General features: G+C 38.9%; 2 protein-coding genes and 1 pseudogene across 25 annotated transcripts in view, besides 2 other annotated features; 1 reads left to right on the top strand and 2 right to left on the bottom strand.

Moving 5' to 3' along the window:
• The window catches only part of SLC38A6 (solute carrier family 38 member 6), a 102,489-nt gene extending 89,929 nt beyond the window's left edge, over nt 1–12,560 (bottom strand). For 16 of the 22 annotated variants that reach the window (XR_007063987.1, XR_007063988.1, XR_001750164.2 and 13 more), the window contains exons 1-3: nt 12,423–12,560; nt 11,167–11,297; nt 9,002–9,075 (exon numbers count right to left, since the gene is read on the bottom strand). Coding sequence is in view for 17 of the 22 variants with exons in the window: in NM_001172702.2 (NP_001166173.1) it covers nt 9,002–9,075; nt 11,167–11,297; nt 12,423–12,527 (310 nt within the window). In the remaining 5 variants the exon portion in view is untranslated. Of the gene's footprint in view, nt 1–6,647; nt 6,754–9,001; nt 9,081–11,166; nt 11,298–12,113 lie in introns of those variants that run through there. The other 6 variants (NR_033344.2, XM_017021022.2, XM_047431005.1 and 3 more) reach the window with 3 other exon arrangements.
• TRMT5 (tRNA methyltransferase 5) lies at nt 12,115–22,364 on the top strand. 3 transcript variants are annotated; one of them, NM_001350253.1, is made up of 5 exons: nt 12,115–12,781; nt 13,919–14,574; nt 16,167–16,291; nt 17,679–18,330; nt 18,611–22,364. In NM_001350253.1, exons 1-5 carry the CDS (start codon nt 12,687–12,689, stop codon nt 18,694–18,696), a joined length of 1,614 nt encoding a protein of 537 aa, NP_001337182.1. In that variant the 5' UTR covers nt 12,115–12,686; the 3' UTR covers nt 18,697–22,364. The 3 variants fall into 3 exon arrangements, with proteins under 3 accessions (NP_001337182.1, NP_065861.3, NP_001337183.1); NM_020810.3 differs by having other exon boundaries at nt 12,726–12,842; NM_001350254.1 differs by having other exon boundaries at nt 12,726–12,961.
• Nucleotides 12,457–12,836: an enhancer, noted in NCBI's record as "active region_8484". NCBI's record gives its function as "activates an Ori minimal core promoter by ATAC-STARR-seq in GM12878 lymphoblastoid cells {active_cell/tissue: GM12878}" and the evidence as "EXISTENCE:reporter gene assay evidence [ECO:0000049][PMID:35858748]".
• Nucleotides 15,740–16,034: a silencer, noted in NCBI's record as "tiled region #5996; HepG2 Repressive non-DNase unmatched - State 3:PromF". NCBI's record gives its function as "represses a minimal TATA promoter and a strong SV40 promoter by Sharpr-MPRA in HepG2 cells {active_cell/tissue: HepG2}" and the evidence as "EXISTENCE:reporter gene assay evidence [ECO:0000049][PMID:27701403]".
• RNU6-398P (RNA, U6 small nuclear 398, pseudogene) lies at nt 19,370–19,478 on the bottom strand (annotated as a pseudogene).

Genomic DNA, 22,603 nt, shown 5'->3' with positions numbered 1-22,603 from the left:
TGATACTTGGCTATTTCTTGACGTAAGTGTGATGCATTAAAAGACTAAATACAAGCTCTGTGTACACAGAAGAGGCTTATTGAGTGGTATGCTTAACTATATGATGATTAAACAGGAGGTACTCAGCTCTTTCTTGAAGGGCCCTCAACTATTTTTACCTGTAGGTCTTTTCTCTTGGGCAGGAGAAATTCTGTTGAAAATATTCCTCCAATCCCTTAAGTGAAAGTAGAAGACTTGCTGCCAGCAGTCTCAGAACTCCTACTAACTGGGACTCTCCTTCAGTTAGTAGACTTTCACTTAATCTCCCTGTTTTCAGTAAGGTGATCTTGGCCTTAACTACACCTAATATCTATGATTGCTGAGTCCTTTTAGTTTACCTTCTCCAGAAAATAAGCTTCCAGGTTCCTATAATAGTGGGGAAATGGCAGCACAGTGTTATGAAAGTGGACTCTGGAGTTAGCTTGCCTAAATCGAATATTAGCTCTTCTAACTAGCTAGCTGTGCAACCTTAAGCAAGCTAGTTAATCACTCAGTGCCTCAGTTTCCTATCTCTAAAGTGGATGTAACAATTTCTACCTCACATTGCTATTGTGAGAATAATACATGCAAATCTCTTAAAACAGCACCATGAAGACAGTATGCTAAAAAATGTTATCTGGCCAGGTGCGGTGGCTCACGCCTGTAATCCCAACCGTTTGGGAGGCCGAGGTGGGCAGATCACCTGAAGTCAGGAGTTCTATACCAGCCTGGCCAACGCTGTAAAACCCCGTCTCTACTAAAAAATACAAAAATCAGCCGGATGTGGTGGTGGGTGCCTGTAATCCCAGCTACTTGGGAGGCTGAGGCAGGAGAATCACTTGAACCCGGGAGGCAGAGGTTGCAGCGAGCAAAGATCCACCACTGCATTCCAGCCTGGGCGACAGAGCAAGACTGCCTCAAAAAAAAAAAAAAAAGTTTGGAGGCAGGAACTCATAGGAAGTCTCTTAAGATGCCAGAGGGCTGAGACATGAGAATTGCTTGAACCCAGGAGGCGGAGGTTGCGGTTTGGCTAGATCGCGCCACTGCACTCCATCCTGGACAACAGAGCGAGACTTTGTCTTAAAAAAAAAAAAGTTATCTTTAAAGAAAAAAAATATAACAGAGGGAGCAACATTATTATATTTCCCACCTCACACTCAGTCCCCAGATGAATATATGTTCACTGAGTAGAATACAGGCAGGATTACCCAGCACTATTTAAAGTTATTTTCTTCCCCACTTTTGAACTGTATGAATTAAAATGACATGAACTTAAATACCTGTTATGATTTAACTCTACTGTAATCCTGGGGAGGGGTTATGGCGTGATCTACACAGTAGCAATAAGGAAGGAGAATTAGGCAGATCCGAGAAATATTTACAAAATTAATTTATAACTGGGTGAATGTACGAGGTGAAGGAGATATAAACTGGTGGTACCATTCACGGAGGTACGGTACAGGAAGAGGAGCACATTTGAGCCATTAAAGATGAAAGATAAGTTTAATTTTAAACACGTTGAGCTCACAAAGCCTCTGGAACATCTAAATGGAGATCTCCAATATCAGAGGTAGCTGATATGTTTCGGCAGCATGGATGAGAGTCGTCAACCTATTTTTGGTAGCTAAGCTATAAAAGTTTATAATGTTATTCAAAGATAGTAAAGTACAAGTACGGATAAAGATGGAACCCTGGTGGGGTAGAGACTGCTGGTTGTCTCTTCCCTTCTTCTACCTGAGTAACAGAACCCTGACTTTTAGTTGGGCTCATTGCCACCTTTAATAAACGCTACATTTTCTAGGTCCCTATGCAATTTAGTATGGCCATCGGGCATATTAAGTTCTGGCAACAAGAAAATGGAGTCTTAAGTGAGATTCAGCTGGTAGGCATCCCTTTCTCTCTTTCTGCTCTCTAGAACACGGATGCGATGTCTGCACTCCACAAGTCGTCCTAGACCTCAAGGATGGGGAAGGCACACACAAGAATAATGGAACAGAAAGGTAGATCCTCCTTCCTTGATGACACTGTAGATCAACCGTTGCTGTTTGTAATTTTAAATGAGATTGTATAAAAAGACCTCACAGAAGAGGTAAGATTTGTCAAAGCCTTGAAGGTGATGAGTGAGCAAAGTCATGTGGGAAACTGGGGGAAGAAACGTCCAAGAAGAGCACAGAAAGCACAAAGGTATGGAAGCAGGAGACTACCCAGCACGACTGGGGAAGAGTGAGCACAATTTTAGAGCCAGACTGTGTGGGTTTGAATCCTGGCTCCTATACTTCCTAACTGGGAAGTTACTTTCACCTCTCTTGGACAAGTTACTTTAACCTCTCTGTGCCACAGTTACCTCATTTCAAAAAATGGAAATAATATTGATACGTACCTCATAATATTATTATGAAGATTAAATGAATATTCATATTCATAAAGTCCTTAGAATGATGCTAAGTGCTATATAAGTATATGTTACATAAGATAAAAATTAAAAGTGTGACTGAAACCAGTGAGGGAGTACTGGAAGATAAATCAAGGAGATAAAAAGGGCAGAAGACTTGTGTTGGACTTTGTAATGATTTTTGCTTTTACTTTGATTGAACTGGGAAGCAACTGGAGGATTTTGAGCAAAGGAATGCTATGACCTAACTTACATTAACAGATCATTATGGTTGTTTTGTTAAGAATAGACTGCAGGAAGTAAGAGTGGAAGTAAAAACAAAAAGATAAACTATTACTTTTGATGGTGGTAATAGTAACTGAAGATGGGTGGTAGCAATTAAATGAGAAAATTATCAGATTATTAATTTTTTGGCCAGGCACGATGGCTCATGCCTGTAATCCCAAGCACTCTGGGAGGTCAAGGCAGGAGGATTGCTTGAGCTGGTGTTGGAAAACAGCCTAGGCATCGTGGTAAGAGCCCATCTCTGCAAAAAATTAAAAAATGAGCCAGGTGTGGTGACGCACATAGCCTGTAGTACCAGCTGCTCAGGAGGCTGAGGTTAGTTAGGTGTGGTGACGTGCATGGTGATGTGTGCCTGTGATTACCAGCTACCCGGGAGGCTGAGGCAGGAGGTCGAGGCTGCAGTGAGCTATGTTCACGCCACTACATTCCAGCCTGGGCCACACAGCAAGACACTATCTCGAAAAAAAATTTTTTTTGAAGTGAAGGGAACAGTATGGCATGGACTGAACATGCAGGATGAGGGGAAAAAGGGGAGATACAGAATAACTTAAAGATCTTTGGCCTAAGCAATTAGAAGAAAGACATTACCATTTACTTAGATGGGAACAGTAGAAAGTGTAGATTGGTAGTATAAAGATGGGGAGTTTTACAAATCTGAGCTGTTAGACATCCAAGTGGAGATGTCACGGAGGCAGCTGGAGATGAGACTGAAATTCAGGGGAGAGTTCCAGGCCAGGGATATAAATTTCAGAATCACCATGAGCCCGATAATGAGTGTAAAAGAAAAGAGATCACTCACACCTGTAATCCCAGCACTTTGGGAGGACAAGGTGGGTGGATCACTTGAAGCCAGAAGTTTGAGACCAGCCTGGCCAACATGGCAAAACCCTGTTTCTACTAAAAATACAAAACTTATCTGGGTGTGGTGGCACACATCTATAATCCCACCTACTCAGACGGCTGAGGCAGGAGAATCGCTTGAACCCTGCAGGACGGAGGTTACAGTGAGCCAAAATCACACCATTGCATTCCAGCCTGGGTGACAGAGTGAGACTCTGTCTCAAAAAAAAAAGAAAAGAAGGGAAAAGAAAAGAGATCAGAGGAATAGTCCCAGGGGTACACCAATGTTTAGAGGATGGGGAGATTAAGAGAATTCAACAGAAGAGAAAAGGAGTGTTTGATGAAACAGGAAGAACTAGGAAAGCGTGACTTGTCTTTCAGAGAGCAAGGAGTTATCAGCTCTGTCACATGCTGCTGACTGAGAACTGATCATTGGATTTAGCAATGTGGAAGTCACTGCTACAACAGTTTCAGTGGAAAAGCCTGATAGGAGTGGGAGGAGAGGAACTGGAGACATCTGGTTTAGATAATTCTTTTTCTTTTTGGAGACAGGGTTTCACTCCCGTCCCCCAGGCTGAAGTGCAACAGCATGATCTCAGCTCACTGCAACCTCTGCCTCCCTGGCTCAAGTGATTCTCCTGCCTCAGCTGCCCCAGTAGCTAGGACTACAGGCTCATGTCACCTCACACAAATTTTTGTATTTTTTTTTGTAGAGATGGGGTTTCACCATGTTGCCCAGGCTGGTCTCAAACTCCTGACTTCAAGTGATCCTCCTGGGTCTGCCTCCCGAAGTGCTAGGATTACGGGCATGAGACACCACACCTGGCCTGGTTTAGACAATTATTTTAAGGAGTGCTGTCATGAAGACATGAGGCATATTCAAAAGATGCAAAGTAAAAGAGATTTTTATGATGACAGAAATTAGACTATTTGTAAAATGATAGGAAGGAAATGGTAGAAAAGGGCCAAGAAATAAGAAAGAAGGGAGAAAGTGGCTGGAGTGATGTAGGCAAGAGCAGGTGGGATCATAGCACAAGTTGGGGGGTAGGCCTTAGAAATAAACACAAAGAATTCATCCCAAGGAACAGAGTATATAGGCACAGATAAATAAGTGGTGGCAAGAGCTTATAAAATTCTTTTATGATTGCTTCTATTTTTTCAGTGAAACAGAAAGCGAAGAATATCAGTTATGGGTGAAATCAAAGAAAAAAGTGTCGAAGGTTTGACAGGAGAAGATATAAAAAAGCAATCTCCTAGATAGCAGATGAATGAGCTAAATGAAGTGATGAACCAAAGAAGTGAACCAGAATTGTGTGATAGCATCATAGGTACACTAGACGTTGAATTATAGTGATATCAGTCTGCATGGTTGTGCTTTTCCTCAGGAAGATTCAAATGCATGGGTGCAAATGTGAAGCAGGCAGAGTTATATTTAACTATGGTTGGAATTTTACCAGGGAAATATGATGGTTCAAGGGATAGGCAAGGGATTAAATAACATACTACAAAACCTCAACTGGATAAAGAGGGAAGTAAGAATGAGTGTGGGGGGTCAGTGCAAAGGTGGTAGAATCAATGAATTGATAGAAGTCTTGGTAGGGGTGAAAACTGTCAGAGTTGAAGTACTTGAGAGGGTGAGTTAGAAACAAAGGAGATGGTGGTGGCAGATGGGCAGATACTAACAAATGCTATTTTGGTAATGACAAGATCAGTGGTATGACCATAGGAGAAAATAAGTGGCCAGTGTAGGTAGAGAATATGATCATTAGAGAAGAAGAGGTTCAGGAACTGAAAGCATTAGAAGGATTAGCTACATGCATATTGAAATCATCCAGAATTATAACAGGGGTAATACTGAAGAGAACTAAAAGGTGAGTAGAAGCTAAAATTTAGCTAAAACTTTCATGAAATGACAGGAAATGGTCTAGGAGTCTATAGATGACAATAGTAAGGAGAGCCGTAGATGGTATACATTCATGAGATTAAAAGCTGGGGGGTTCAAGGAGAGGAAGATGGTTGAGAAGCAGAAATGTGGGACAAACAGGACACCTATACCATCTTCAAATTAGTATGAGAGACATAAAGAGAAAAGACTGACCACTTGAGAGAACTACAGGGAAGCCTCAGAGGAGGTTCTCGTAGTGTAAGAAACAGACAGAAATGTTCAGAAGAGAATTAGAGACATGTGAGTTTTGCTGATGATTGACTGTGAGTTCCAGAGAGCACAGTGGAAGGGTTTCAGGAGTTAGAGAGCAGTGGAAGACGAGGTCAGAAACAGATGACAGCCATATGGGATGAGTCTGAGAAATGAAAGATAACCTAATATACTTGAAATGACTAACACAAATTGAGATAGATGGTATAATGTCATAATCCAAATGGTCTCAAGGCAAATAATGGTGACAATCCAGTGAGTAGTAGGGATCAACGACTAGGGAGTTGTGGTTCGGCCAGAGGTATGCAGAGTTCTAGGACTCTCACTCTCTCCAGTTGACAGTGACATGGAAGCCAGTGGAGGGGAGCTGTGGGTTTAGTATCAGAGCATGAGAAGTATTCCAAAAGAATGGCAACGAACCAACTATTTCTGAGATAGTAGTGTGTACAACACCCTGCAATCTTTAGGGATTTTTGCCCCAGTGGGCATTTTTGCCCCAGGGAGCACTCATTTGCCAAGGACTTGACATTTCATATACATTATTTTATTTCACTCTCAGAACAATTCCAAGAAGGAAGTGTTATCATTGCCATTTTACAGATGACAAACGAAGGCTAGAGAGAATAAGGTTCTTTACATTCCACCTCAGCTCCCATGAAAAGTCCTGATAGACCCCAAACGCTCCATAAAATCTAAAGTAGAATTTCATGTGAAGAAATCCTTTACTTTTATAAAGATGAAAATTTCTCTTTACCCTTTACCACCAGCAAATAAATGAAGAAGTTATTTCATAAAAACTCATGATAGCTCTTTCTCTTACCAATGAATTCAATCTGAGCATAATAATCCTTTATGACAGTCCAACAAACTGTTGGGAGAGAGTTAGTTACGTATTATACTCTAGTCTTTATATATGAATGTATGTATTGAAAAAAAAAAAAAAAAGGAAAAGCCTACCTCCACAGAGAATTTTACAAAGATTGAAGGAATTCAATCAACGGAAGACAGGTGAGTCAATGTGCAGGCAGAACCATGAAGTAGTTAGTTCATGGGCCCAAGTAGGCTACAGAAATCAAAGAAAAAGAAAAAAGAAGAGAAACAGATATATTCACTTCATACGCCCCAGAGTTACAGAAAAGAACAAACACAGTGTCAGAATCTTAAAGTTAAATACATGTGAACCGAAGGAGTAAAAAATTAAAATTACTTAGAAATCTCCACACACTGAATACTACTCCCACATAACCGAAATAAAACATTTTACTTAAATTAAAACTAAAATGAAGTTTTAAAATGAAGCTTGAAAGACATAATTGCCACATAGTTGACTAAAGTATTAATCTTTTAACAGAATGAATTGAAAGAATCTACCAAGATGTTAAAGTATCACAATTAAGTAAAATTTTTTTCACATTCAGCAAAATTTCAATACATGCAATTAAAATTCAAGTTTCAGCAGGATTTACAAATATATTTATCTAAAGCTATTATTCCTAAATTCAGGATGCTTTTATGAACAACCTGTTACTTTAGGATTAATATTTGTACTGCTTCCTAGTATTTTCATCTGTCTGCACATTCACCCAAGCCCCTTGAGAGCAAAGGCGTGCACTGGATGGCCAAAGCACTGTTAGAAGTTGTGGCTATAAACTATGAATCCTAAACTAGATTTGCATAAGAATCACTTGGAGGACTTGTTAAAAACATATCTGGCACTGGCTGGCCAAAGCACTGGTACAAGTTAGAGCTATAAACTATGGATCCTAAACTGGTTTTGCCTTGTTAAAAACATATTCTTGAGTCTCACCTCAGATTTTTGAAATTAGAATCCCTGAGGCTTAGAGCTCTCTGTGTATAAAAAGATCTATGAGTATTTCTGATGATGGACAGGTTTTAGGAAAACAAACTAGAGCAGTGGCTTCAGAATTATTCTGAAGAGTCTTAAAATTCTTAAGAAACATCACTGGGCTTCACTCACCTGTTTCAGCACAGAATAGTCTCACTGATATAGTTTGGTTTGTCAGACCCCTCCAAATCTCATGTTGAAATCAGATCCCCAGTGTTGGAGGTAGGGCCAAAGGGGAGGTGTTTGGGCCCTGGGGCCAGATCCCTCATGAATGGCTTGGTGCCTTCCTTGGGGTAATGAGTGAGTTTTCACTTTTATTAGTTTCATGAGAGCTGGTTGTTAAAAAGAACCTGGCATGCCCCTCCTCTCTCGCTTCCTCTCTTGCCATGTGATCTCTGCATATCCTAGCTCCCCTTCACCTTCCACAATGAATGAAAGCAGCCTGAGCCCCTTACTAGATGCAGATGGAGCAGAAAAGCCCCTCATAAGAAGGGCCATGCTTCTTGCAGAGCCTGTAGAACTATGAGCAAAATAAACCTCTTTTATTTATAAATTATGCAGCCTCAGGTATTCTTTTATAGAAACACTAAATGAATTAAGAAATCCATTTTTATCTATTTTGTGTATCTACTTTTCTTCTTAAAATCTGAACATCACAAGGCCAGATAAAGCAAAACGAACTCATCCATATAAGAATTAAACCCATGATTTTGGCATCAAAGCTGACCTAATCCAAAGACAAAAGAGACTAGACAGATAAAAAGACCAGGACTGATGAACATAGAATATTTGTTAATGACAAAAGGAAAATCTTAGAAAAGCACTTCTATAATTCATATACTTTTATTTACTGGATCCTAAAAGAACTTATTCAATACATGACTGAATTGCATAATAAAATTCCAAATGGGAAAAAGTATATACACAAATATATTGAATTAACTGCACATACTTATTTCTCTTAGGAAAAAACTACCCTATTCTAGACTTGCAATTAAAAATACAAAATGTGTCTAAATAAATTAAAGCTTTGTGACCTTACTTCCTACAATCCTAATTCTGCCATCCCTACCTCTGACTAGCAGGCAGATGGGGGCAGGGAAGGCAACAGTAGCTCTGAGAAGGTGTTCTCTCCTTGAGAAAATGATTTCTCCATAAGCATAAGGTTTGGATCCTTTGAACACCTTTTAGACCCTCCCATGATCTACTCTACTCCAGAAAATTAGGTTGTGTTGTGGAGGAAAGCAGGTAAAAATGCTAATTACCTCCTCCCATCCTGTGCTTGGATATTCCCCCACAGTATTGGGTCTGTATATCCTGGTTTTTCAAATTCTCCATTCCGATCACCCTATCTAATAAAAATGTATGCTCACTGGATATTAGATTTGAGACATCCAGTTCTATATGTAGATACAAACTCAAGAGACTCCTTTATTAAATGAAGCAGCATAACATTTTTACTCACCTGTCTGAATACACATACTAAGCAGAAGATGGACTGAGTAAGAAGCCAGGAGAGCAACTGTCAGCAGCAAGAAGCTAAAACATAAAAGAACACCTGGTCAAAACCTCCCAAAAGTTTGTCTTTTGTATGGTGTCTCATTACAAAAACAAATTGCTTAACAGTCAAATATTCACAGGAACTATCTCTGAGTAGCAGAATTATGTTCATTAAGGAAATTAAGAAGATACTTTTCTACTTTTTTGTATTTACCAATTTTATTTAAATGAAAATATACTGATTTTAAAATAAAAAAAAATAAAAACCAAACTTTTTTAAAAATACAAGCAAACTTCCTCATTTTGCAGTCTTGTCTGCTGACTGCTGAATCAGCCATTAAATAATCTTGTAATATTTCCTTTTTATGACTGGTTTTCTTCTTATTTTAAGTCTAAACAGAAGTTTTACTTATGCAATCTCATTGTCTTCTCTTTTTCCCTTCCTCCCTCTACTTCCAGTGATATTGACCTCCTTATCATACCTTCATCTTATTAAGGTGTACTTAAGATTTATTTAGGCTGTATTTTCTAGCATCTATTAAACGCACACACTCTCCAAACCAAACTAAATTAAAATAATGTAGTTAACACACCTCTAATGATGCAATTTGAAAAATGTGCAAACAATGTAATGATTGAGGTCCTCTCACCAACAGTGTGAAAGAAAAAACTTAGATAATTTCCTATTCATTTTTAGGAAGACACCAGCAGGACAAGCTTCTATACAGCTATCCCCAGTGAACTGCCCCAGTCATTGAAGAAATTTTCTCTCTGTGGTCCAGTTAATACTTGTTAATAAATAAAATTGAGAGGTAAAAGTACAAATGTCATTAAACTGACATCAGGAACTTCACAAAATAACACTTTAGCATCACCAAAAATGATGGTTGCTATGACTGGGTGAGCACACATTCAGCAGTATATATCTGCATGTAAGACCCTGGTGCATAAATTATGATTTTTCAAAGAGAATCAAAAAAAAAGTCCTCTGACTATGTCTTGCTTAAGGTGTCACATATAGTTTTTAATTTTAAAAATAATGAAAGTTTGTGAGTACATTCCATAATAAAAGCAAGTTGGGTTACTTAAAAGTTGCTTTGCTTATCAAAAAATTTGGAATAAAAGCAGGAAATAAACATAAAAGAGACTCCCTAGGCATTTTAAATTTCCTAGTAAATAGATCTGCTTCTACTGACAAAGCCAATTTGTTAATTCATTCTATTAGCCATGTGGTGCTAGATGCTAAGAATAAGGTCCAGTTATAAAGGATTTTTCTATTTTTTAAATTTTTTAGACAGGATCTCACTCTGTCACCCAGGCTAGAGTGCAGTAGCCCAATCATGGCTCACTGCAGCCTCAACCTCTCAGGCTCAAGCAGTCCTCCCAAGTAGCTAGGACTACAGGCGCACTCCACCATACCAGGCTAATTTTTGTATTTTGGGCAGAGATGGGGTTTCACCATCTTGCCCAGGTTGGTCTCAAACTCGTGGGTTCCAGTGATCCGCCTGCCTTGACCTCCAGTTGTAAAGGATTTCAGTTTAGTGGGAACATTAATTTCCAAACATATCATTGTAACAATTATAATAACAGAATGAATATACAAAGTACTATGAAAGCACAGAATATCCAGGATTGTCTTCTATTTTGGGCAAACTGGCCTACAAGCTAAGTCCTGAAACATAAAAAAGAACAGGCACAAAACACATGTCTGGCCTCTGAAAGTGAAATAAGACTACTTAACAATACAAAGAGACAGCGAGGAATGAAAAGATTATGTGTTGTATTTGCACTCACAAAATTGCTATTTGGAAGTTAATCTGCATGGCTTTGATTCACTTTGGCCAAGGAGATACAATGAATATGCCACTCTTAAGTGTCATATTTCATTATAAATGAAATGTGGATCAAGTTCCCATTTTTAAAAACTAGTCACACTTCTGTGTATTTAAGAAGCTATGTAGTAGCCCTCCAAGGTACACACTAGCAACAAGAATAACAAGAAAAATGCTAAAACCCCAGAAATAACTAACTAGAAATTGTATAATAGCAGCTTCTGGAATCTATCTCTCTACTTCTCCGTATATTATCAAAATGGAAAAAAAAATTTGATGCTAAAATATGAAGACTCACCTAAATCCAAAGACACCGGTATTAGCCAAAACATAAGCTAAGCCAAGGATGCCACTTCCCATGATGGCATTCATCAAATTAAACACTGATAAACCAAATGAAACACCTGGGGATCGCTGTCTGTGAAGTTCCTGTAAGCACACAAATTTAGTAGTGTTAAATGTTTGGACGGTGAAGTTAAAATTTCGTAAAGAAATTCCATAAATGAAAGATTATGGAAAAAAGCTGCAAACCACCAGGGTTTGTATGACACACTCGTTGCTTAACCAACACTAATTTCCTTTCCTTTCCTTCCCACCTCCCACTACTGCAGCTCCAGGAATCTAGGGTTTCTTAGGAAAATGATTTCCACCAGTACACAAGACAGGCAGAGTTCAGGAAGGGCCATGACTAACCTTGTGACTGCAAGAGATGAAGATAGGATGGGAATGGAGTGGGGAGAGAGAGGAGGGATAAGGCCTCAGCTCATGTGATTACTAAAGAATTGCTGAGTCAACCTGGGACTGCTGTGGGCAGTTGTTTCTCCTCAATTACTAGGACTGCACAACTAATCTCTACTTATATATCTAATGAATTAGTTCTACCAAACTGGAAGGATGGTCAGGAATATCTTGCAATGACAATATTATAAACAGAAGCAATTCACGTTGTTCTGGCAGTATCCCTGAAAACATCCCCCTCCCCACAAACAGCACCGGGAACAAAGTCCTGGGAACAGTGTCTAGGACTCGAGTTAAAAAGCGGAGTGCCCACTGCACAGGCTTTAGGGTCAGGAACGTGCTATGCACTTACTACCAAGCCACTTCCATTCTACCGCTAAGAATTTCTGTATTAAAATGTTTATTATTTTCCCTCCCCCCATGACTAAGTCGGAAGAGGAAAATCCTGTGACTCTTGCAAAGACCTCACGAGACTGGTGGAGAAAATAAGGTGACAAAAATACTAACTAACAGCAGTGAGTACATAATCCTAGGGCCGCTCATCCCATCATGTTCGCAGCTTCCACTCAACGCTGCATCTCTTCCACCCGACGCTTTTCATCTTTTCTTTCTAGAGTATGCTAGGCTGCTATCACGTTCATAACTGCGCCAATCTCATCTGAATCTCGGCGGCTGCCTTCAGACCCCATCCCCCAGGGTTCAGGCTCCAGCATCTCCCCTGTCCCGGTGCGGTCCTCCTTTTCTGGGTCTTATTTGGCAGGCACTTGAGGGAAGCCGGAGGGCGTCAGCGCGGGGAAGCGAACACAGCCCACTTACGTTGCTTAGCAACGGACTCAACTCTTCGGCCTCCGCTTCTTCAGGCTGCTGGACAGAGACATACCAGCCCCGCTCAGCGTTGAAGCTCCCCCAGGACGCCTCCATGCTGCTCTCCAGCTGACTACCAGTTCCATCTACGAGCCTCTACCCCTGCCCTGCGCTCCAGTCGTCGGTCGCGCCAGAGGCGGAGCTTTGAGCCCGGCCCTTCCGGCATTCCGTACTTCACCAGGGCCTGGAAGGAGAGGAGCGAGTCGACTTGATCTGATGACGCGCGCCCTCTTCGCGGCGAACAGTGATGATGTCATAGAAGACCCGCCCATCCACCCGCGACCCACATCCGATCGGTACCGGAGCGGGAGGTGAGGGGTCGGCTCGCGGATCCAGCTGCAGAGCGACGTGGGGAATTGGAATGGTGCTTTGGTGAGGTGGCGGCCGCGTTAGGGGCTAATGGTCCAGGGGAGGTACCAGCCCGCCCAGGGCTGCTCTCTGCCATGTGCTGCCTGGGCACAGAAACATCGCGAGGTCACCCACCCGCCTAGGTGCTGAGCTTAGTTTCGAGGTTCTGGATAGTAAGGAATGTTTCAAAAGCCTTTCGCCACATTTTACTGGTGGGAAAACCGAGACTTATAGTAATTTATCCAGGGTCACCCAGCTGGTCAGCTGCTAGAACCAATTTGATCTCTGACGGTGAAGTTAGACTTCGTTGCTTTACAGGATTCTGGGACAGGGCCCTTTCCCCTTACAAGTAAATTCTTTGGTATTTTAGAAGACAGTGAATAACTGATACTATGCATATAACAATCAGCAAAGCTCTCGTCCTCAAAATACAGAAGCCTCTAGTTAAAGGCAGGACATGTGGCAGTAAAGCATCGAAAACAAACAACAGAGCAATATATTAAGAACACAAGCACCGAAGTCAGTCAAAACTAGGTTTTAATCCATGTTTAGCCACTTATCAGCTGGGAGACTTTGGGTGGGTTACCTTACGTCTGAGCTTTAGTTTACTTATTTACAAAATGAGGGTGCAATACTGCACACCTCCCAAGATTCATAATGTACATAAAGCATTTAGCGCAGTATCTGACACAATAAGCACCCATGAGACTATCCTAATAAATATCACCACTAGTAATGGTCATGTATAATGACTATTTCATTTACAGATGACCATTTAACTCATACTTCAGTCTTCCAATCCCAAATGTATTATCTAGAAAATTGTGGGTGAAGAGGATCATTGAGTATGGCTAATGGATCACTAAGCCCTCTGAACTGGGAGCAGATGGGTTGAAGGTGTAAATTTAATATATACCACTATTATCTACCACTAATACGACTTCCTGAAGAAGTCATCCTAGTCTGGAAAAGATAGTATACTTCCCACACATCACTAAACGTTTTATTTGTCAGCATTTAGCCCGTTATTTGAGATAGTAGAATTTAGATTTTTATTCTCAAAAGCTGTCGTGTGTGAATTTTTTTTTTTTTTTTTTAAGGATCTTATGGAGGCCATTTGGATTCTCAGGAAGATTTCTGAAACTGGAAAGCCATAGCATAACTGAATCAAAATCGTTGATTCCAGTAGCTTGGACATCCCTGACACAGATGCTTTTGGAAGCACCTGGTATTTTCTTATTGGGTCAAAGAAAAAGATTCTCAACCATGCCAGAAACAGAAACACATGAGAGAGAGACTGAATTGTTTTCACCACCTTCTGATGTCCGAGGCATGACAAAACTTGATAGAACAGCTTTTAAAAAGACAGTCAACATTCCAGTGCTTAAAGTGAGGAAAGAAATAGTCAGTAAATTGATGCGATCCCTAAAAAGGGCAGCATTGCAGCGCCCAGGCATAAGACGTGTGATTGAAGATCCGGAAGATAAAGAAAGTAGACTAATCATGTTGGATCCCTATAAAATATTTACTCATGATTCCTTTGAGAAAGCAGAACTCAGTGTTTTAGAGCAGCTTAATGTCAGTCCACAGATCTCTAAATACAATTTGGAACTAACATATGAACACTTTAAGTCAGAAGAAATCTTGAGAGCTGTGCTTCCTGAAGGTCAAGATGTAACTTCAGGGTTTAGCAGGATTGGACATATTGCACACCTAAACCTTCGAGATCATCAGCTGCCTTTCAAACATTTAATTGGTACGTGTGTCATAGTAATATTCATGTATTTGAAGGGAATTTGCAAATTGTTAATTTTAGCTTTAAAAATTATTTTTTTTAATGCCAAGTTACAGAGGCAGAACATTTTATCATGTTAACTTTAAGCTAGATCTTGAGCTACATACCCTCTTTTGAGGGCCATTTTGAAATATCTTCTTTAGTCATAGCAAGTTCCAAATACTGGTCCAGGCTTTTGTGTACAACAATACATCAGTGTAGATTAAACTTGAATCACATGCTTTGGCAGCTACATTGAGGAGAGATCTTTTTGGTACACAAGACTTGTTAGGCCTTCAGGGCTATGTTAAATACTAGGTTTCATAAATTTGGGTACTTTATAGTCAAAAGTGCAAGATGTTTACTTATGCTTTCATTGATTCAACCAATTGAGCCTCTTCTATATGTCAAGCACCATACTGTCCTGTTACACATTTCTTTTGTTTTTATTGATGAAGGGAGTAATAATGGATAGTGGTAACATAAATACTTAAGCAGATCCTTGTAATTGTGACTGGGTACAAATGTCAAGTCTAGGCTTTCCTGTGAGTCACTGCCTACCCTAACTCAAACATTCCTCTGGCATTCCTATTTTATAAACTTTCTTTCATAGAGGCACTCATACATTAAAAGTGAAACATTTTCATACAGTAGTAATTTTAAAGCTTTTACTATAGACCTTCAGAATAGTTTTTAAAAATTTATAAATTTCATTCCTCATTTCAAACTAAATTCTGTACCTTAAAAGTTGAGTTCAGATACATGAAGCAGAAAGGGTAAGAACAATGATTAATTCGTTTATTGATACTATATTAAAAAACAAGTATCTGATTATCAGAAATGGGACAAATGCTGGTTGTATTTCAGGATATTGTATAATTGGGTACTGTGTGCTGATTTACAAATCAAGTTATGCAATGAGATAGCATATAGATTTTTATAACTTTTTTAAAGTGCTAACTAAAAAAATAGATTCATCAAATGGCCATGAGTATGCCAGTTCTGTAGCTTTTTTTGCTCTGAAGTAAATGAACATTTAATTTAGATAGGACTGTAAATAATCTATGTTTCTTTTTTTTTGGAAACATTGTTTTGCTGGCATATATTTCTAAAGTGGGGGCATTTGTTCCAAAGCCATAGTAAAACAGACATTTGGCTTGAGGCCAGTGGAACCGGCAGATGTTTTACTGTTTTCTGAGGCCATTTGTTGCCAGGGTCCTTTACATCTCTTTCCATTCTTTCCCAATTCCTTGTGATCTACCTTTTTGGTTCCTTGTTTATTGGTTCATTTGAAAAGATTTAGTAAAACATGGAAAAAACATTAGGTAGACCCAAACTCCTCAAAACGTTTTCTTTAAAAATGTACCCAACATTTTGTGTGTGCATATTAGCAACCGTCAGACATTAACTTTAGTCATCTGTTGAATTTTTTAAATTGCATGCCACATTACACACAGTAGGTGCAGTCTTTATCAACCAAAAGAAATACAACTCATTTCTGTTTCATATTAACAATGTTAGCTTTTATTTTGCAACCAATAGGCAGTATTATGGATTTTCATTTTTTCTTTTAGGCCAGGTTATGATTGACAAAAATCCAGGAATCACCTCAGCAGTAAATAAAATAAATAATATTGACAATATGTACCGAAATTTCCAAATGGAAGTGCTATCTGGAGAGCAGAACATGATGACAAAGGTATATTTTATTATCTCCAAGTAAGGTGTATATCAATATTATGTTTAGAGTCAGAATAGATGACAAAGATTTAAAATACTTGTAACATCCAGTGTTGGTGAGTATGTGAGAATGTGATCACTTATGTATGCTATTGATGGAATAACACTGATAAAGCCTTTTCAGAAGAATTGGTTAAATTCTCATATAGTGATACAATGGAATATTTCCATCATTAAAGGTTTTTTAGCTCCATATTTGTTAAAATAAGTTGTCCATCGATAGGTTGACAATGGACAATTGCCAGAAAGCAATATAAGTGACAAAAAGCAAGTTATAGAACAGTATGTATAAAATAGTTCTCGAGATATATTTAAACCTTCTAGGTTATACCCAGAAAGACTTTTAGTTGGCAGAAATTTGCAGAAACATTTCCACCTCTGTAACCTTAATAATTTGGCCGGAAGCATCTGATATGGTTGGGAGAAGGAAAAAAAATATACATACAAATTGGGAATTAAGGTCCTGGAAAGCAGAAGATGGAAGATGTATCTATCTATGAGATTTATAGAACTTATGAACTTTCTGGCCTTTGATTCTTCATGCATAAATTAATGAGTTTAAGATGATGGCTGAGGTCATACTTCATGACTGTAACTTAAGTTTTATTTTCTGTTTTTTAAGGTGTCTACTACAATAGACCCAAAAGAAACGTTAAAAAGTCTTTTGTTCAAGAATTAGCTTCACTGTATATATTTAGTTTACCCATGAAAACTCAAATTTGGGAAAGAGAATCTGGGAATGATTCATTCTATACACTGGCTCTAATTTATAGACATCAAATTTGCAAAGTTCAAGTAGCTGTCGAAAAACATAGTAAAATACCTCAAAATTGAGTGACACATCTACCATGGCTCCCTTTTACAAACACAAAACTAAATAAGGAGGGAAGCTTGTTTGCTGCATAGAAGTACTGTCTGCAACTTGGCTACCCAGCATGAAGATATGGGTGGTGTGTTGTTTCAAAATTGTAGGTCTTGCCTTGTCTATCTGGTGACATAAGAGTATAATTAAGCCAGTTAATTGGCCTGTCTGAAAAATTCCTCATGTGATATGGTAACTACTTTATGGCCATGGCCCTATAGGATTGAGATGGAGAGCCATTTGGCTTTAAAGAGATGACTTTTTCTCACGAATAAGTCTAATGCAGTATATTAACTGGCCTTAGGAATAGCATAAACACCAGGAGTCTAATTAAAATGCCTTTAAATGCACTGTTGTTTGGCTCTTACAGTAGTAAACTTAAATGTGTATGTGTTTGCCTGTGTGTATACACAACCTATCCAATATCAATGGTTAGGATTTAGGACCAAGGAAATTAACCAAAAAGCATAACACCTTTTTTCAGGTTCGAGAAAACAACTACACCTATGAATTTGATTTTTCAAAAGTCTATTGGAATCCTCGTCTGTCTACAGAACACAGCCGTATCACAGAACTTCTCAAACCTGGGGATGTCCTATTTGATGTTTTTGCTGGGGTTGGGCCCTTTGCCATTCCAGTAGCAAAGAAAAACTGCACTGTATTTGCCAATGATCTCAATCCTGAATCTCATAAATGGCTGTTGTACAACTGTAAATTAAATAAAGTGGACCAAAAGGTGAAAGTCTTCAACTTGGATGGGAAAGACTTCCTCCAAGGACCAGTCAAAGAAGAGTTAATGCAGCTGCTGGGTCTGTCAAAAGAAAGAAAACCCTCTGTGCACGTTGTCATGAACTTGCCAGCAAAAGCTATAGAGTTTCTTAGTGCTTTCAAGTGGCTTTTAGATGGGCAGCCATGCAGCAGTGAGTTCCTTCCCATAGTGCATTGTTATAGCTTTTCCAAAGATGCTAACCCTGCTGAGGATGTTCGGCAAAGGGCTGGAGCTGTGTTAGGCATTTCTCTGGAGGCATGCAGTTCAGTTCACCTGGTAAGAAATGTGGCCCCAAACAAGGAAATGCTGTGCATCACGTTTCAGATTCCTGCCTCTGTCCTCTACAAGAACCAGACCAGAAATCCAGGTGAGCAGTTTCTGGGAAATTAAATGTAAACCTTGCCATTCAATTGTAACTAATTCCTCCCAGTTTTACAAATTTTAATGCAGTATTAGTTCAGTCTAATAGAAAGCTACTGTGTTAGTTCAGTCTAATAGAAGGCTATTTCATTAAAATAGTAAATCTGCAAGAATGTTATTTCATGTTTAAGTTGACTAGATTAAAAATGCCTATATTGTTTGTTTTTTTAAGAGTATTTTCAACTGTTAATATCTTACCTAAAATAGGTTTTCTGGATTTATTACAGAGAATCATGAAGATCCACCTCTTAAAAGGCAGAGGACGGCTGAAGCCTTTTCAGACGAAAAAACACAAATTGTTTCAAACACTTAATTGGAAATGTTTTCTCCATCTCCCTACCAGACTTACATGTAGTGAAATAGAATTTGTATTATTTAATAAAATTTTAGGGTTTGGTTTTTACTATTGAACCCTTGTACTTTGCCTTATTTTACAAATTGAGGATTACCAATTAAACTTTAACTGAACTAAGGCTACCAAATACATTCCCTGTTATCTAAATTATAACATACAATTATTTTATAACAAAATATATCTAATTTTTATTGGATAAATATGAATAAATATTTTCTCTCAGGGAAAATAATTTTTGAAAGTAGGGTGATTGAGTACTAACTAGGAAGGTATTAACACCACTTTGTAGTTGTCCTTTACGTAACTACTCCTTTACTGCCAATTAACTATCACCATAAAAGTAATAAAAAATGAAATTATTTAGAACGGGGCAGGCAAACTACATCCTGCAGGCCAAATCTGTCCCACCACCTGTTTTCATATGGCCTGTGGCCTAATAATGTTCTTACGTTTTCCATTGGTTGAAAAATAATCAAAAGAACATTTTGTGACGTGAAAATTTTATGACATCTATTATGTATCAGTTTTAAAAATTAGAATTGTATGAAATTAAGAGTTTCAGAGTTCATAAAGTTTGATTGGAACATACCATGCTCATTTGTTTACATATCATCTGCAGCTGTTTTTTGTTTTTAATATGGAACGCTTCACGAATTTGCATGTCATCCTTGCGCAGGGACCATTCTGATCTTCTCTGTACCATTCCAGTTTTTTAGTATATGTGCTGCTGAAGTGAGGACTGCAGCTGCTTTCTTGAACAATAGCAGAGTTGAGTGGTTGCAACACACACTGAATGTGACTGTCATCACTTCACACTGCTGTTTGACACATCACAAATCACTGATGTGGTTGTAACGACAGCATTTTGAGTGCCATGTATATCACATGAACCCACATTTTATTTTTTATTACCAGAGCATATCTATTATAGCAAAACAAGAAAAGTGGACTTTGTTGTTATTTTTAAAGTACAGTAGGGTGTGAATTATTTTGATGTTGAATTAGACGACAAAGCATCTATATAGCTAAGCTAAAAGAATAACCATTGACATTACCAGACAAACCACTCATCACAGTATTCCCAACTCACAGGCAAGCAACTGTTAGAAAAATTAGAAAATTTAAAATGGAAATAACAAAGCAGAATTTCTTCACAAAATGAAAATGAGGCTGCAACAACAGTAAGTCTCTAAGTCAATCATTTGTTAGCCAAGCAAAGCCATTTATTGATGGTGTGAATTAATTATGTTTGGATGCAGCAGCTGAATATATCCAGAGAAAATAAACTTAAGATTACTGGCCTTTGGCAAGAACAGTTGCTTAAAGAGTTAAGGACATTGAAAGCGACATAAATAGTCACTTTAAAAAGGAAATGATTCTGGATGGTTCTTTGACTCTATTTTTATTTTTACTTAGAGACAGGGTCTTGCTCTGTTGCCCAGGCTGGAGTGTAGAGACACAGTTACACCTCAATGTAACCTTGAACTCCTAGGCTTGAGATCTTCCCATCTCGGCTTCCCAATGTGTGAAGGTTACAGGTGTGAGCCCTTATATGTGGCCCTCGTGAATGGTTTAGCACTATCCCCTTGGTGGTGTCCTTAAGATAATGAGTTATGAGATCTTGTTGTTTCAAAGTATGTGGCACTCGCCCCCCACACTCTCTTGCTCCTGCCTTCGCCATGTGAAGTGCCTTCTCCTATTTTGCCTTCTACCATGAGTAAAAGCTTCCTGAGGCTTCCCCAGAAGCAGATGCCAGTGCTATGCTTCCTATAGCCTGGAGAACTGTGAGCCAATTATACCTCTTTTCTTATAAATTACCCAGTATCAAGTATTTCTTTATAGCAATGCAAGAATGGCCTAAAACACAAGGCAAAACAACTTTGATATGGTACAGTCATTTTGACAATCGATATTTGAATCACAATATTTGATGACAATATCCTTACACATTTGTCATACTATCAAAGAGAAAGAAACAAGATTTCCATTCCCACAAATTTTAGTGAGTATATTTTCTGAGTTCAGCATTTTTAGGGACCTAGGTGCAAGTGCAAAGGAAATTTCCCTGTTTCAAAATCTATTTAACTGCAATTGAGGTGATTCAACCTAATTTTCAGTAAGAAGTGATTAAAATAATGACATGCTAAAAGGCAAATTTCAAGGGAAGAAATGTAAAAGAATTTTACAAATGCTTTCCAAGTGATGAATATGCTCAGTTAATTTCATATGCTCCTGGATTGATAGCAGTATTTGGCAATACCTATCTGTATGAGAAGACATTTTTAAAGATGAAATGTGTAAAATCTTATTACCATTAGTATTAATGGTTAATGATGGTTAATGATAACCATTAATAGGCAATCATTTACAACTGATTTTGATCACAGGGAACACTTACTTAGAACCCTGATTAGAGGCAATGTTATTCTCACCAAAAAAGGCATTACAAAAAATTGGGCTATATTTTGAATTTTGTCAATTAAAAAAGCGTGGGAGCAGTGTGAAGGAGAAGAGGCAAGAACGACCCCTGGACCGACCAAAGCCCGCGCGCTGCTGCGTCCCACACCCGGTGCCCACATCCCGCCGCCGCCGCCGCCGCCATGCCCAAGAGAAAGACTGAAGGGGATGCTAAAGGAGATAAAGCCAAGGTGAAGGATGAATCACAGAGAAGATCTGCGAGGTTGTCTGCTAAACCTGCTCCTCCAAAGCCAGAGCCCAAGCCTAAAAAGGCCCCTGCAAAGAAGGGAGAGAAGGTACCCAAAGGGAAAAAGAGAAAAGCTGATGCTGGCAAGGAGCGGGAAGGTGCTGGAGATCCCAAGTGAAGTGTGTGCATTTTTTATAACTGTACTTCTGGTGACTGTACAGTTTGAAATATTCTTTATCAAGTTTTATAAAAATGCAGAATTTTGTTTTACTTTTTTTAAGCTATGTTGTTAGCACACAGAACACTTCATTGTTGTTTTTGGGGGAAGGGGTATGTGTCACTAATAGAATATCTCTGAAGCTGGATTGATACGGGGAAAACATCTTTCCCTTCTAGTTTTGAGAGACTTCCTCTTGGCTCCCAGGAGGAGGGATTTCCTGACTTTGACACACATGGCCACCTTGGCACAAAAGCCTTGTGGTATGGAAAAACAAATTCGTTTTTATGTCTTCTTTTCCCTTTCCATCTTTCAGCATAGACTTAATCCCCTTAAGCCCAGACATCTGTTGGGACCTGACCCCCGGTCATTGGTTACCAGTGTGTCTGGCAATCTGGACTTTCCAGTGATGCCACTGAGATGGCACCTGTCAAAAGAGCAGTGGTTCCATTTCTAGATTATGGATCTTCGGATAAATTCTGCCATTTTCATTTCACTTCCTGAAAGTCAGGGTTGGCTTGTGAAAAGTTGTTAAACAACATGCTAAATGTGAAATGTTAACCCTCTAAACTTTCCCTGTTCAGAGCATCAGATGAGGACTTCATTGGGTTTTATAGCGGCTGATTTTTGGTAGTCCATTGAAGAAGAGAGTTTGAAAGTTGTATACTGTTAATGACTGTCTGCCCATGTCCTGCCTGAAATACCATGATTGTTTATGGAAAGTATCTTTAATAAAGCTGGATACAGTTTGAAAGAAAAAAAAAAGTGTGGCAATTTGTTTTAGCTTGTTCTGTAAGTACCTACATAATATCCACGATTTTGCTTGTTACCCTGCAAAGCCTAAAATATTTACTATCTGGCCCTACAGAAAATGTTTAAGAACCCTAATCTAGATCATTAATTACAAATTCAAATGCCTTCAGAAGTCTGGCAGGTCATGTAAACAAATGAAGGCAATAAATGATAAGCAGTATAGGGATGTAATGAACTGGAACACTCATTCT

The sequence above is a fragment of the Homo sapiens genome, chromosome 14 (genome assembly GCF_000001405.40).
Source record: "Homo sapiens chromosome 14, GRCh38.p14 Primary Assembly".
In the NCBI taxonomy this organism is placed as follows: domain Eukaryota; kingdom Metazoa; phylum Chordata; class Mammalia; order Primates; family Hominidae; genus Homo; species Homo sapiens.
The sequence above is the reverse complement of the archived record's forward strand: the minus strand, read 5'-3'. Positions and strand labels throughout refer to the sequence as shown.

Bases quoted from the DNA above. Each gene is read 5' to 3' on its own strand.
- TRMT5 (NM_001350253.1), top strand. From the start codon at position 12,687: ATGACGCGCGCCCTCTTCGCGGCGAACAGTGATGATGTCATAGAAGAC. The intron at 12,782-13,918 runs GTGAGGGGTCGG...TTTTTTTTTAAG, and splicing joins GATCGGTACCGGAGCGGGAG to GATCTTATGGAGGCCATTTG. The intron at 18,331-18,610 runs GTGAGCAGTTTC...GATTTATTACAG, and splicing joins GAACCAGACCAGAAATCCAG to AGAATCATGAAGATCCACCT.